Raw genomic sequence first — 12,524 nt, 5'->3', positions numbered from 1 at the left:
AAACAAGGCTGCCACAAGCAAAATCAGCATGCAAGTATCAGCTGCATTATCATACACTAACAATGAAAAATCCTAAAAGGAAATTTAAAAATAATTCCTTTTATAATAGTGTCAGAAATAATAAAATATTTAGGAATAAGCTTAACCAAGGAAGGAAAAGACTTGTGCACTAAAAACTATAAATGTTGATGAAAGAATTAAAGAAAACACCAATTAATAAAAAGACATTCCATGTTCATGGATTAGAAAATAATATTTTTAAGATATCAGTACTACCTGAAGTGATCTACAGATTCAATGTAATTCCTATCAAAATTCCAACAATGGTTTTTGCAAAATAGAAAAATCCATTCAAAAATTCATATGAAATATCAAAGGACCCTAAATAGCCAAAACAATTTTAGGGGGAAAAAAAAAACAAAGCTGGAGGACTCACGATTCCTGATTTCAAAACTTGCTAGAATAAAGCTGCAATAATCAAGACAGTGTGATACTGGCATAAAGACAGACATATACACCAACTGAATAGAATAGAGATGCCAGAAATGCAACTTCACAGATACAATACAACAATTTTTGAAGGGTGCCAGGGCCATTCAACGGGAAAGAACAATATTCAACAAATGGGTTGGGAAAACTGAATATCCACATGCAAAAGAATGAAGCTGGACCCTTGTCCTACACCATACATAAAAATTAACTCAAAATGGATCAAAAACCTAGAAACGAAAGCTAAAATTATAAAACTCTTAGGAAAAAACAAAGGGGAAAAGCTTTATGACATTGGATATGGCAACAATTTCTTTGATATGACACTGAAAGCACAGGCAAAAAAAGAAAAAATAGAGAAACTGAACTTCATCAAAATTAAGTAATTTTGAGCATCCAAAGACATATCAAGAAAGTGAAAAGACATCCTGTAGAATGGGAGAAAGTATCTTCAAATCACATATCTGATTATGGTTTAATATTCAGAATTTATAAAGAACTACTAAAGCTCAACAGCAGCAAGACCCAAATAAAATACCAGCAAAGGACTTGAATAGACATTTCTCCAAAGAAGATACACAAATGACCAATAAGCACATGAAAAGGTGCTCAACATCACAAATCACTAGGGAAATGCAAATCAAAAACATATTAACGTGGCTACTTAAAAAAAATAGAAAGTTAGCAAGAATGTGGAAAAACTGAAACCCCGTGCATTGCTAGTAGGAATGTAAAATGGTGCAGCCCCTGTGGAAGACAGTATGGAAGTTCCTCAAAATGTTAAATATAGAATTACGATATGTCCCAGCAAGTCCACTTCTGGAGCTATCCTCAAAAGAACTGAAAGCAAGGACTCGAACTCACATGGGTACATCAATGTTCATAGCAGCATTATTCACAGTAGCCCAAAGGTGAAAACAACCCAAGTGTTCATCAATGGATGAAGGGATAAACAAAATGTGGCATATACATACAGTGAGTTTTCATTCAGCCTTAAAAAGGAAGGAAATTCTGATGCATGCTACATCATAAATGAACATTATGCTCAGTGAAATAAGCCAGTCACAAAAGGACAAATAATTTCACTTACAAGGCTCCTAGAGTAATCAAATTCATAGAGAAAGTAGAATGGCAGTTGCCAGGGCTGAGGAGGGGGCAAAATCAGGGCTTAGTGTTTAATGGATATGAAGTTTCAGTTTAAAAAAAAGAAAAAGTTCTGAAGATAGATGGTGGTAATGGTTGCACAATAATGTGAGTGTACGTAATGTCATGACACTGTACACTTAAAAATTATTAAAACTGTCAATTTTAATGTTATATATATTTTACTACAATAAGAAGAAAACATTAACAATGGTTACCTCTAGGTTGATCTAGACTGATCAATTCTTATCTCCTTTTAAAAATTATTCTCTCTTTTCAAACTGTTCTCCATAATATTTTATTACCATTTCTATAATAAAAAAAAGTTTTATTTTATTACTTAAAGCAAAAACATCAGCATTACACTGTACCTTTTCTGGCTATATAAAGTTCTTGTTTACGTTTTTATGCTAACTTTTTGTCTTTACATATGAAAAGGACACAAAGCTTAAGTAGTGATATGGCTGGGTGCAGTGGCTCATGCCTGTAATGCCAGCACTTTGGGAGGCCAAGGCGGGCAGATCACAAGGTCAAGAGATTGAGACCATCCTGGCCAACATGGTGAAACCCTGTCTCTACTAAAAATACAAAAAATAGCTGGGCACATGCCTGTAGTCCCAGCTACTCGGGAGGCTGAGGCAGGAGACTCACTTGAATCCAGTAGGCAGAGGTTGCAGTGAGCCAAGATCCCACCACGTCCCTCCAGCCTGGGCAACAGAGCAAGACTCAGTCTTAAAAAAAAAAAAAAAAGTAGTGATACTACAGAAGGATAACAGATTTAAAGAGATTATGTGCTCACTATATAACACATTAACTTTTGAAAAGCCATTATTTTAATCAGTGAAAGCCTCAAGCTGCAATGGAAAGTAGTCCCTAAAATGTGGAAAATAAAACTATCAGATGCCTCCTTTTTCCCTACAAAAATATGTGGCCACTTTGCTCAAATTCCATGTCACAGATATAAATTAAGCATAAACAAAAATACATAACATTTTATAAATTTTTAAAAAGAAGTTGTCTTTTCCCTCCTTCCAACCCTAAGCAAAAAAATAACAGCTCCCCTGGACTCACCGTTGTCTTCTTTAGAGGAAACAACCAGTGGAAAGCATCATTTTAAAACAGCATCATCTTCTCCCTCTCTTCTGCACCCTGAGTCTCTCACAAATCTACCCAGCTAAACACAAACAAAAAAACACACGAGCCAGAATGTGTAAACAGGACTCATATGTTCAAACAATTAAGTATGATCCTCCAATGACCTTAAGTGTCAAGAAGTAAGCCTTATTTTTTCATACAGAGGGCCACCACCAGTGATTTTTAGAAACTGAACTGTGTTCTTCACAGAAATGCAAAGACAGAGGATGGGGCACAGTTCAATTCTATTTTCACCAGAACCTTATCTTTACAGAGTAAACATATGTGTGATAGTAACCTTTACACTCTCAGAAACATTCACAAACAAATCCACCAACGCTACACTGAAGAAGGGCACAGCAGTGGTCAGAGCTGAGGATCCTCTGTCAAGAGTCAACAACAGCAGGAACTGTTTTCGGATCTCTCTGTTTCAGGAAGCTCAGCCACTAGCAACTTGGGAACCTGGATAGAAAAGATACCTGATTTTACCCACTCATCCCTGACCTCCAGAGAACAGTGCTACTGGAGGACCCCTTAAACAAAACAGGGGAGAACATATAGCAATGGGTGCAATTCTGAAAAAGAAAAATCAAGGGAGAATAGAAAGGAAACATGGTGGATGATATGAAGCACGAGTTGCATTCAGAGAAGTTGTGAGCAAGGCAGCAGATGAGAATAGAGAGCGTGTCTACCTATATACATTTCTCCCTTCGGGGTCACAGCAGTAAGGAGAAGGGAAAGAGAAGGGAAAAGGGGTAACTTGAAGCTGTAGGTGACCATAAAGTTCTTAACTGAAGGCACAAAAATTTTCTGTAACCATAACTTGCTACTCAAATACATCTACCTCTATAACAAATACCCAGTAAGACTAAAGTTGCTTTGACTCCATAACTGCTTTCCACTGTGACTGTATCTCCAACACTGAAGAAACCATGGTATAGTGAAAGAGCATGAGCTTTTCTTTTTTTTAGAGATGGCCTCGTGCTGTCACCCAGACTGGAGAGCAGTGGCACAATCGTAGCTAACTGCAGCCTCAAACTCTTGCCTCAGGTCCACCACACTTGGCTAACTCTTTTTTTTTTTTTTTTACTTTTTGTAAAGACAAGGTTTTGCTATGTTGACCAGGCTGGTCTTGAACTCCTTGGCTTCAAGCGACCGTACCACCTTGGCCTCCCAAGTTGCTGATATTACAGGTGTGAGCCACTGCCCCCCGCCGACTTTTAAACTGAATGTTGAAAATCATTCTGCTCTTTGCTGGGTAACACTGATCAAGTTGCTTAACCTTTGTGAAACCACTTTCCTTATCTGTAACAAAATGGACAAACAGAACTTTTTCCTTTCCTCTCGATATCAAACAAAAGCAAAAAGACAATGAAAAAAGTTTCGTGGAATTTTTGAACTCCATTTTCCATGGAACTAGGAGACAGGTATAATCTCCAGAATTCCAAGTACCTGTAAGGTCTGCCAGAGGCAGCTGAGATTGGGCAGAAACTGCAAAGAGCACAGAGAAATGAAAGATCCCAAGCACCATCAGCAAAAGCATGCTTGAAGGTGAAGAACACACCCTGAAAGACACGGCTGTAGTCCATGATTGCAAGTATGAGTGCGCGAATGGGACTGAAGCCCTCCAGGACTTATATCATTTCGAAGAATCAGAGGCAAGACCATTTAAAAAATCTCAGAGATGGATTACATTTGTAGGAAAACAGCCCTCTCTCTAGTGCATCAGAGATGGAGAGAGGCTCTGGGTTGTAAAGCCTGGAAAGCCATCCTGGAAGCTTCTCCATATCACAGTATCTCTTGAATAAAGCTGGTCTTGGAAAACCCAGCTCACTCAATGATGAGTAATAAAAAGGGAATTGGAAAAGCAATAAAAAGTTATTCTATAAAAAAAGTGAAAGAAAGCCATAAAACTTACTAATAGACGAATACTCCCTAGAATGTTGCTAGTGAGTAGATGAAAGCTGTGACCAAAATTTTGTCATTGTTTAAAACTTAATGAGGCAATCGCCTTGAAAGAGAGAGAGGGGGAGGAAGACAGAAGAGAGGGAGGGATGCACCACAGAGCACAAATATAAGAACTCAAGGAAAAAATAGTGAGAAAAAAAGAAAAGGTAGAATATGAACTAGAAGAGATCAGAAAAGAAATACTTAGGGGAAAAAAGTCACAGAAATGAAGATGAATTTCAAATGAGCATAAGACAGAATAGGTATTGCAGAATCCAAAGAAAGGGGTAGAGGAATGGATTAGAAAAGCCTAGAAATTGAAACTTAGGTAAAAGAAAAGGAAAAAGGATGGGGGAAAATGATAGGTTTGGATGAATGACAAATGAGAGTCAACAGATGCATAAAAAGAATTCCTACAAAATAAAAACAAGCAATAGAATGAAACAAATATTTAAAGGTATTATTCAAGAAAAATGTCCTAAATACAAGGAGATTTAAATCTACATCCTGAAAAGGCACCCAGGCCATTCCAAAATGGACCCAGAACAGTCAACAACCAGGAATATTCTAGTAAAATTGGACTTAATAAATCTGACTTTAAAGATAAAGAACAACTCTCTGGGCTATGTTTATGGTTTGGATATTTAACCCCTCCGAGCCTCATGCTGACATTTGATTCGGGTTGGAATCTCATGAATAGATTAATGCCCTCCCTAGTGAGTGAGTTCTCACTCTGTTAGCTGCCTGGGAGCCGGCTGTTAAAAGAGTCAGGCACCTCCCTGCACTCTCTTGCTTCCTCTCTCACCGTGTGATCTCCGCACACGCCAGCTCCACTATGCTTTTCAGCCATGAGTGGAAGCTTTCTGGGGCCCTCACCAGAAGCAGATGCTGACACCATGCTTCTTGTACAGCCTGTAGAACTGTAAGCCAAATAAACCTCTTTGTAAATTACCCAGCCTCAGGTAGTACTTTATAGTAACACTACACAGACTAAGTAATTAGGCAAAAAGAAAAAGAAATCAAGTCATCTATAAGAAGGAAATGCATTAAACTAGCCACGTATTTCTTCACAGTAATACTCTATGCCACAAATCCATATGTTACTGCTTCAAGATACTTAAAATACTTAAGCAAATAAAGTATAAGCCAAGAATTTATACCCAGCCAGGCATTCCTTCAAGCAAAAAGACCACTGACTAACAGTTTTGAACACACAGGCATTCCGGAATTCCTGACCCAATGAATCCAAGAGACAATCAGGAAAATAAAAGCAAAAGAACTGGCAATTGAATTCATTTAACTATAGAACTAAGATTAAAACAAATGTGATGATTAAAGTGGTCAACCAAATCTAAATGTAATAACTAGTGACAATGTAAAAATCATACAACCAGCAAAAATTGTAGTGTTGGGGGAGAGTAGTAAAAGATGGTGGGAGACAGGGTAATGTCACTGACTGCCTTATCCCTAGTGGCTGAGAATCAACAGGTATCATTCAAATGTGATGAAAAAAGTAATATACATATGAAGATATCTAACAGTATGACAGTAAATACTAATAAACTGACTAATAACAAGTAAGGGCGTGTAGTGAGGGGATAGGAAGGAAGAGAACATGTGCTCGACACCAATGCTCATGGTAGAAGCTTCCCTCTAACGAACCAGAGGAGTGAAGACATTCCCTAAAGTTATAATCAAAAAGGTTACTATTAGGAAAAATACAAATATCAAAAACATCAACTTACCAACTTAAAATAGGCCCAATAAGAAACCACTTTAAAAACTATAAAAACAGAAAACATGACAGAACTCAGACAAAACATGAAAGCATAATAAGTCACATAATGAAAAAGACTTGAAAACTATAAGACAGAAAATATAAAATGTGACATAACTTAGATAAAACATAATTGTCATATCAATAATGTAAATGAGCTAAGTTTATCAATTAAAAACTTTTCAGATAAAGCTATGACATAAAATTCAACCCATTCTCAGAAAAGAAATCGTTGAGGGGAACTTCCTCAACTTGATAAACAACATCTACAAAAAACCAGCTAATATCATACTTAATGATGAGAAACTAGAAACTTTCCTGCTAAGATCAGAAACAAGGCAAGGACATCCTTCTCACCACTAGTTTTCAAGATTGTACTATAAGCCCTAGCAAGTGCAATAAGACAAGAAAAGGAAAGGAAATAAAAGGCACACTGATTGGGAAAGAAGAAATAAAACTGTCTTTGTGTACAGATACCAAGAAAATCCAGAAGAATCAATAAAATTCTGAAACTAATAAGCAACTATAGCAAGATTCTAGGATACAAAGTTAATATATAAAGGTTAATTGAGGCCGGGTGCAGTGGCTCATGCCTGTAATCCTAGCATTTTGGGAGGCCAAGGCAGGCAGATCATGAGGTCAGATCAAGCTCATCCTGGCTAACACAGTGAAACCCTGTCTCTACTAAAAATACAAAAAATTAGCCAGGCGTGCTGGCACATGCCTGTAGTCCCAGCTACTCGGGAGGCTAAGGCAGGAAAATCTCTTGAACCCAGGAGGTGGAGGTTGTGGTGAGCCAAGATTGCACCATTGCACTCCAGCCTGGGCAACAAGTGTGAAATTTCATCTCAAAAAAAAAAGAAATAAAAAAGGTAATTGCTTTCCTATAGACCAGCGAAGAACAAATGAAATATGAAATTTAAAATATAATACCATTCAAATTATCACTCCCAAAAGAAAATACTTAAACATAAATCTAACAAAATATATACAACATCTATATGGAGAAAACTATAAAACTCTGATGAAAGAAATAAAAGAGGAACTACATAAATGGACAGATGGTCCATGTCCATGGATAGGAATACTCAATATTGTCAACATGTCAGTTCTTCCCAGCTTCATCAATAGATTCAATGCAATTGCAATCAAAATCCCAGCAAGTTATTTTGTGGGAATCAACAAACTGATTCTAAAATTTACAAGGAGGGGCAAAACACTCACAGTAGCCAACACAATATTGAAGAAGAACAAATTCAATGTGCTAGCACTACCTGACTTTAAGACTTATTATAAATCTACAGTAATGGAGACAGTGTGGTATTGATGAAAAATAGACAAATAGAACAAGAGAACATAATAGAAATTCCAGAAAGAGACTGATATAAAAATAGTCAATTGATCTTTGACAAAGGAGCAAAGGCAATAAAATGGAGCAGACAGTATTTTCAACAAATCGTGCTGGAACTACTAGGTATGCTCATGCAAAAATAAATAAACCTAGACACATACCTTACACCCTTCACAAAAATTAACTCTAAACAGATCATAGAACTCAATGTAAAACACAAACTATAAAACTCCCAGAAAATAACATAGGAGATGATCTGCGGAATGGCAACAATTTCTTAGATTCAACACTAAAGGCATGATCCATAAAAGAAATAATTGATAACCTAGACTTCATTAAAATTAAAGACTTCTGCTATGTGAAAGACAATGCCAAGAGAATGAGAACACAAGCCACATACTGGGAAAAAATATTTTCAAAAGACACATCTGTTAAAAGACTGTTATCCAAAACATACAAAGAATTCTTAAAACTCAAAAATAAGAAAACAAACAACCCAATTTAAAAATAGGACAAAGACTTTAACAGATAGTCTCTCAAAGATATAGAGATGGCCAATAAGCATATGAAAAGATGCTTCACATTACAGGTCATCAGGAAAATGAAAATTAAAAACACAATGAAATACCACTACGCACCTATTAGAATGGCCGAAATCCAGAACACTGACAATACCAAAAGCTGGCAAGGATGTAGGGCAACAGAACTCTCATTTATTGATGGTGGGAATGCAACATGGTACCATCACTTCAGAAGACAGTTTGACAGATTCTTAAAAAAACTAAACATACTCTTAGCATATGATCCAGCAATTGCGCTCGTTGGTATTTACTAAAAAAAAGTTAAAAACTTACAACCATGCAAAAACCTACTTACGGACACTTATAGCAGCTTTATTCATATTTGCCAAAACCTGGAAGTAACTACCATGTCTTTCAGTAGAAGAGTGGATAAACAAACCATGGTACATCCAGATAATGAAATGTTATTCACCACCAAAAAAAAAAAACAAAAAAAATGAGCTATCAAGCCACAAAAAGGCATAGGAGAACATGAAACGCATATTACTAAATGAAGAAGCTACTCTGAAAGGCTACGTACTCTATGATTCCAACCATATGACATTCTGGAAAAGGCAAAACTATGGAGACAGTGAGAATCAGTGGTTGCCACAGGTTGAGGGGAGGGAGAGATGAACAGGTGAGGCACAGAGGATTTTTAGGGCAGTAAGCTACTGTATATGATACTCTGATGGTGAACACATCATTAAACATTTGTCCAAACTCACAGAATGTACAACACCAAGAGTGAACTCCACCATAAACTATGAACTTTCAGTGATGATGTTTCAGTATGGGCTCATTAATTGTAACAAATGTACCACTGTGGTGTGGGATGTTGATGGCGGAGGAGGCTGGTTATGCAAAGGTGAGAGGTATATGAGAAAATTTTTGTAGTGTCTGCTCAGTTTGGCTGTGAACTTAAAACTGCTCTAAAAAATACTTTTAAAAAATTCAACCCAAAAAAGAATGTTTTGTGTTTTGCTCACCTTGCTACAAATAAATTTTAAATTCTGAATAAAATGAAGTTTCTAAGAACGTATAATTTACCAAAACTTGTTGTACCAAGCTATTTGAACTCAATTCCACAGGAAGAAATAGAGAAGATTATCAAAGGCTACCCACCCCCTGCAAAGAGCGCTAAGACAGTTTCTCTGGAGAAGTCAACTACCACTTACAATTCTAAAGCCATCTGGCAGGTGCCATGGCACACACCTGAAGTCCCAGCTACTTGGGAGGCTGAGGCAGGAAGATCACTTGAGCCCAGGAGTTCAAGACCAGTCTGGGCAAGAGAGCAAGATCTTGGCTCTAAATAAAAATTATTTTAATAAAAGAAAATTCCGAAGATACTTATACTTCTCTAGAAAAGAGAAACAGAGAAACCTCCAAGTTGTTACAAGAAGTACAAATGACACTGATATTAAAGCCTAACAGAGCAAACAAAAAGTATACTGTTCATGGTTATAGTCAGTAGAAAAATCATAAAGCATTGCAAGATTAATCCAACATTAAGGGCAAAACATAATCAAGTGCAGTTTATTTAGGAAATGAAAACATAGTTCAACATTAGAAATTTATTATCAAAATTAGTTACACTGATCATGTTTAATAAACACCAGATGCAAAACTCGGAAGAAAACATGAATACTTCCATCACCACCGTATTTTAACGCTGCACTGGAGGTACTAATTAATGTGGTCAGATAACAGTTACAGAAAGAAACTGGAGGGCTTATTTTCTCTTTTTTCTTTTTCTTTCTTTTTCTTTTAACATCATGGTGTGGAAAAATACTCAAACTTTTCCTCTGCTCTCACAACACAACAATCAACACAGAAGTCTTCTGAGAGCAAATGTGGGGAGGGGGCTTCCCCACACACCAACCAAGCAAGTAGTTCTGCATGGACACCCCCTGGGTGAACTGTCCTCCAATTCAACTCAGTTCTGACACTCCCTACCTGGAGACAGCATCAGATCACACAGGTTGTTGGCTCAGTCCCCAAGACTACCCTCAACTTGTGACCTGTCCTTCTGGCTGACAAGCTATAAATCGGGATTCCCACATCCCCCTTCTTGGGTTTAACTAGCTAGAGCAGCTTACAGAACTCAAGGAAACACTTATTTACCTTTACTGCTTTATTATACAGCATTTATTAGGAAGGATACAGATGAAGAGATGCATAGGTATGGGGGAAGAAACATGGAGCTTCCATGCCCTCCCCAGGGGTGCAGCCCTCCAGGAACCTCCATGTGTTTAGCTATCCAGAAGCTCTTGGACCCCAGTCCTTTGGGTTTTTATGGAAACTTCATTATATGGTCATAATTGATTACATCATTGGCCACTGGTGATCAACTTAACCTTCACCTGTTCTCCCCTCCCTGGAGGGTGGGGGTGGGCTGAAGGTTCCAATCTTCTAGTAATGCCTTGGTCTTTCTGGTGACCAGCCCCATCTTGGAGCTATCTACGGGCTGCCACCCATCAGTCGGTCATTAAAATACAAAAGACATCACTGTGGAGATTCTAAGGATTTTTAGAGTTGTATGTCAGGAAAAGGGGTCGAAGACCAAACACATATTTTATAATATCACAGATAGCTATTTGCAAATAATTGCTGTAGGCTACAAATAATCAGATCCTATTTACGGTAGCAATAAAAAAGATTAGGTTTCCAGGAATAACCACCAATAAGATTAATAAAGTTTTCTGAAGACAACTACAGAAACAACAGACACAAAAGAAGACTTGAAGAAACAGAAGATACACGAGGATTAGGACAGGAAGACTCAACACCCTGAAGATGCCAACTCTCTGAAATGTATAATGTATTATGATCACAATAAAAAATACCACATTTTTGAAAACTAGACAAGCTTGATTATAAAGCTAAAGTGGAAAAATTAACAAAAAAGTAGTACTAAAAAAACTGGAGGGGAGGCCAGGCACAGTGGCTCACACCTGTAATCCCAGCAGCACTTTGGGAGGCCAAGGCAGGTGGATCACGAGGTCAGGAGCTCGAGATCATCCTGGCTAACATGGTGAAACCCCATCTCTACTAAAAAATATTTTTAAAAATTAGCCGGGCGTGGTGGCAGGCGCCTGTAGTCCCAGCTACTCAGGAGGCTGAGGCAGGAGAATGGCGTGAACCCGAGAGGCAGAGTTTGCAGTGAGCGGAGATCGCGCCACTGCACTCCAGCCTGGGCAACAGAGTGAGACTGTCTCAAAAAAAAAAAAAATTGGAGGGAGTGGAAGTTACATCAGATAAGGATACATGTAGAAAGCCTCAAAAATTAATAGACTAATTAAAAGAATAATGGTTAAAATAACAAGAAGTCAGGCCAATTAATCAGAATAATGAATCTAAAACTAGACCCAAATGCAAACAGAAATTCAGTGTATGGTAAAGGCAGCATTTCAAATCAGTGAGTAAAAGACAGATTAGGCAATAAATGATATTGGAATTGGTAACATTTAGGGGAGAAAATTGGATCCGTAACTCATACCACAGCAGGATAAATTTCAAAGATAAACGATTTGGGTATTTTGTCTTGTTTGAAAAAAATGACTTTCTAAAAGTAATAGAATACCTGGAAGAATTCCTTTATAATTTTGAAAGATGCTCCCTAACTGTAACTGTAAATGCAGAAGTCACAAAAGGAAAGACTGATAGATTTGACCACATCATCTACAAGATGACCAATGATCTGGCCAGAAAAGAGGAAAGGAATAAGACCAGACAGTAAAAGAAAATGAAATACAAACAGCTCATAAACCTGTGGAAAGACAACCTCACTCATAATAAAAATAAATGCAAATTAAAATAACTCTATTACTTTTTTTCCTAGTAGGCTGACAGAAACCTTTAAAAAACTGATAACATGCTCTGTTGGCAAAGATGCAGAGAAACAGGCCTCTAGTATGTTGCTGATGATTGTGTGAACTGGTGCAAGCCTAAAGATGGGCCTCAGTAATAATCACTCAAAACTGCAAATAAATATACCCTTAACCCAGCAACTTCACTTCTGGGAATGTATCCTACAAATGCATTTTCACATGCGGGAAAATATGTGTACATAATATATAATGACTGCAAACTACTCAAACATCTATCTATACAACACAGGGTT

The 12,524-nt window shown here is 37.4% G+C and overlaps 1 protein-coding gene across 41 annotated transcripts in view; it reads right to left on the bottom strand.

The window, feature by feature from the left end:
• Positions 1 to 12,524, bottom strand: part of LDLRAD4 (low density lipoprotein receptor class A domain containing 4) — a 435,073-nt gene that overhangs the window by 311,160 nt on the left and 111,389 nt on the right. For 2 of the 41 annotated variants that reach the window (XM_047437781.1, NM_001378098.1), the window contains exon 1: positions 2,704 to 2,992. The exons of the other annotated variants lie outside the window; for them this stretch is intronic. The gene's annotated coding sequence lies outside the window, so the exon portion shown is untranslated. Of the gene's footprint in view, positions 1 to 2,703; positions 2,993 to 12,524 lie in introns of those variants that run through there. 41 annotated transcript variants of the gene reach the window in all.

The sequence above is a fragment of the Homo sapiens genome, chromosome 18 (assembly GCF_000001405.40).
Source record: "Homo sapiens chromosome 18, GRCh38.p14 Primary Assembly".
In the NCBI taxonomy this organism is placed as follows: Eukaryota; Metazoa; Chordata; class Mammalia; order Primates; family Hominidae; genus Homo; species Homo sapiens.
This window is presented reverse-complemented; position numbering and strand designations above follow the sequence as displayed.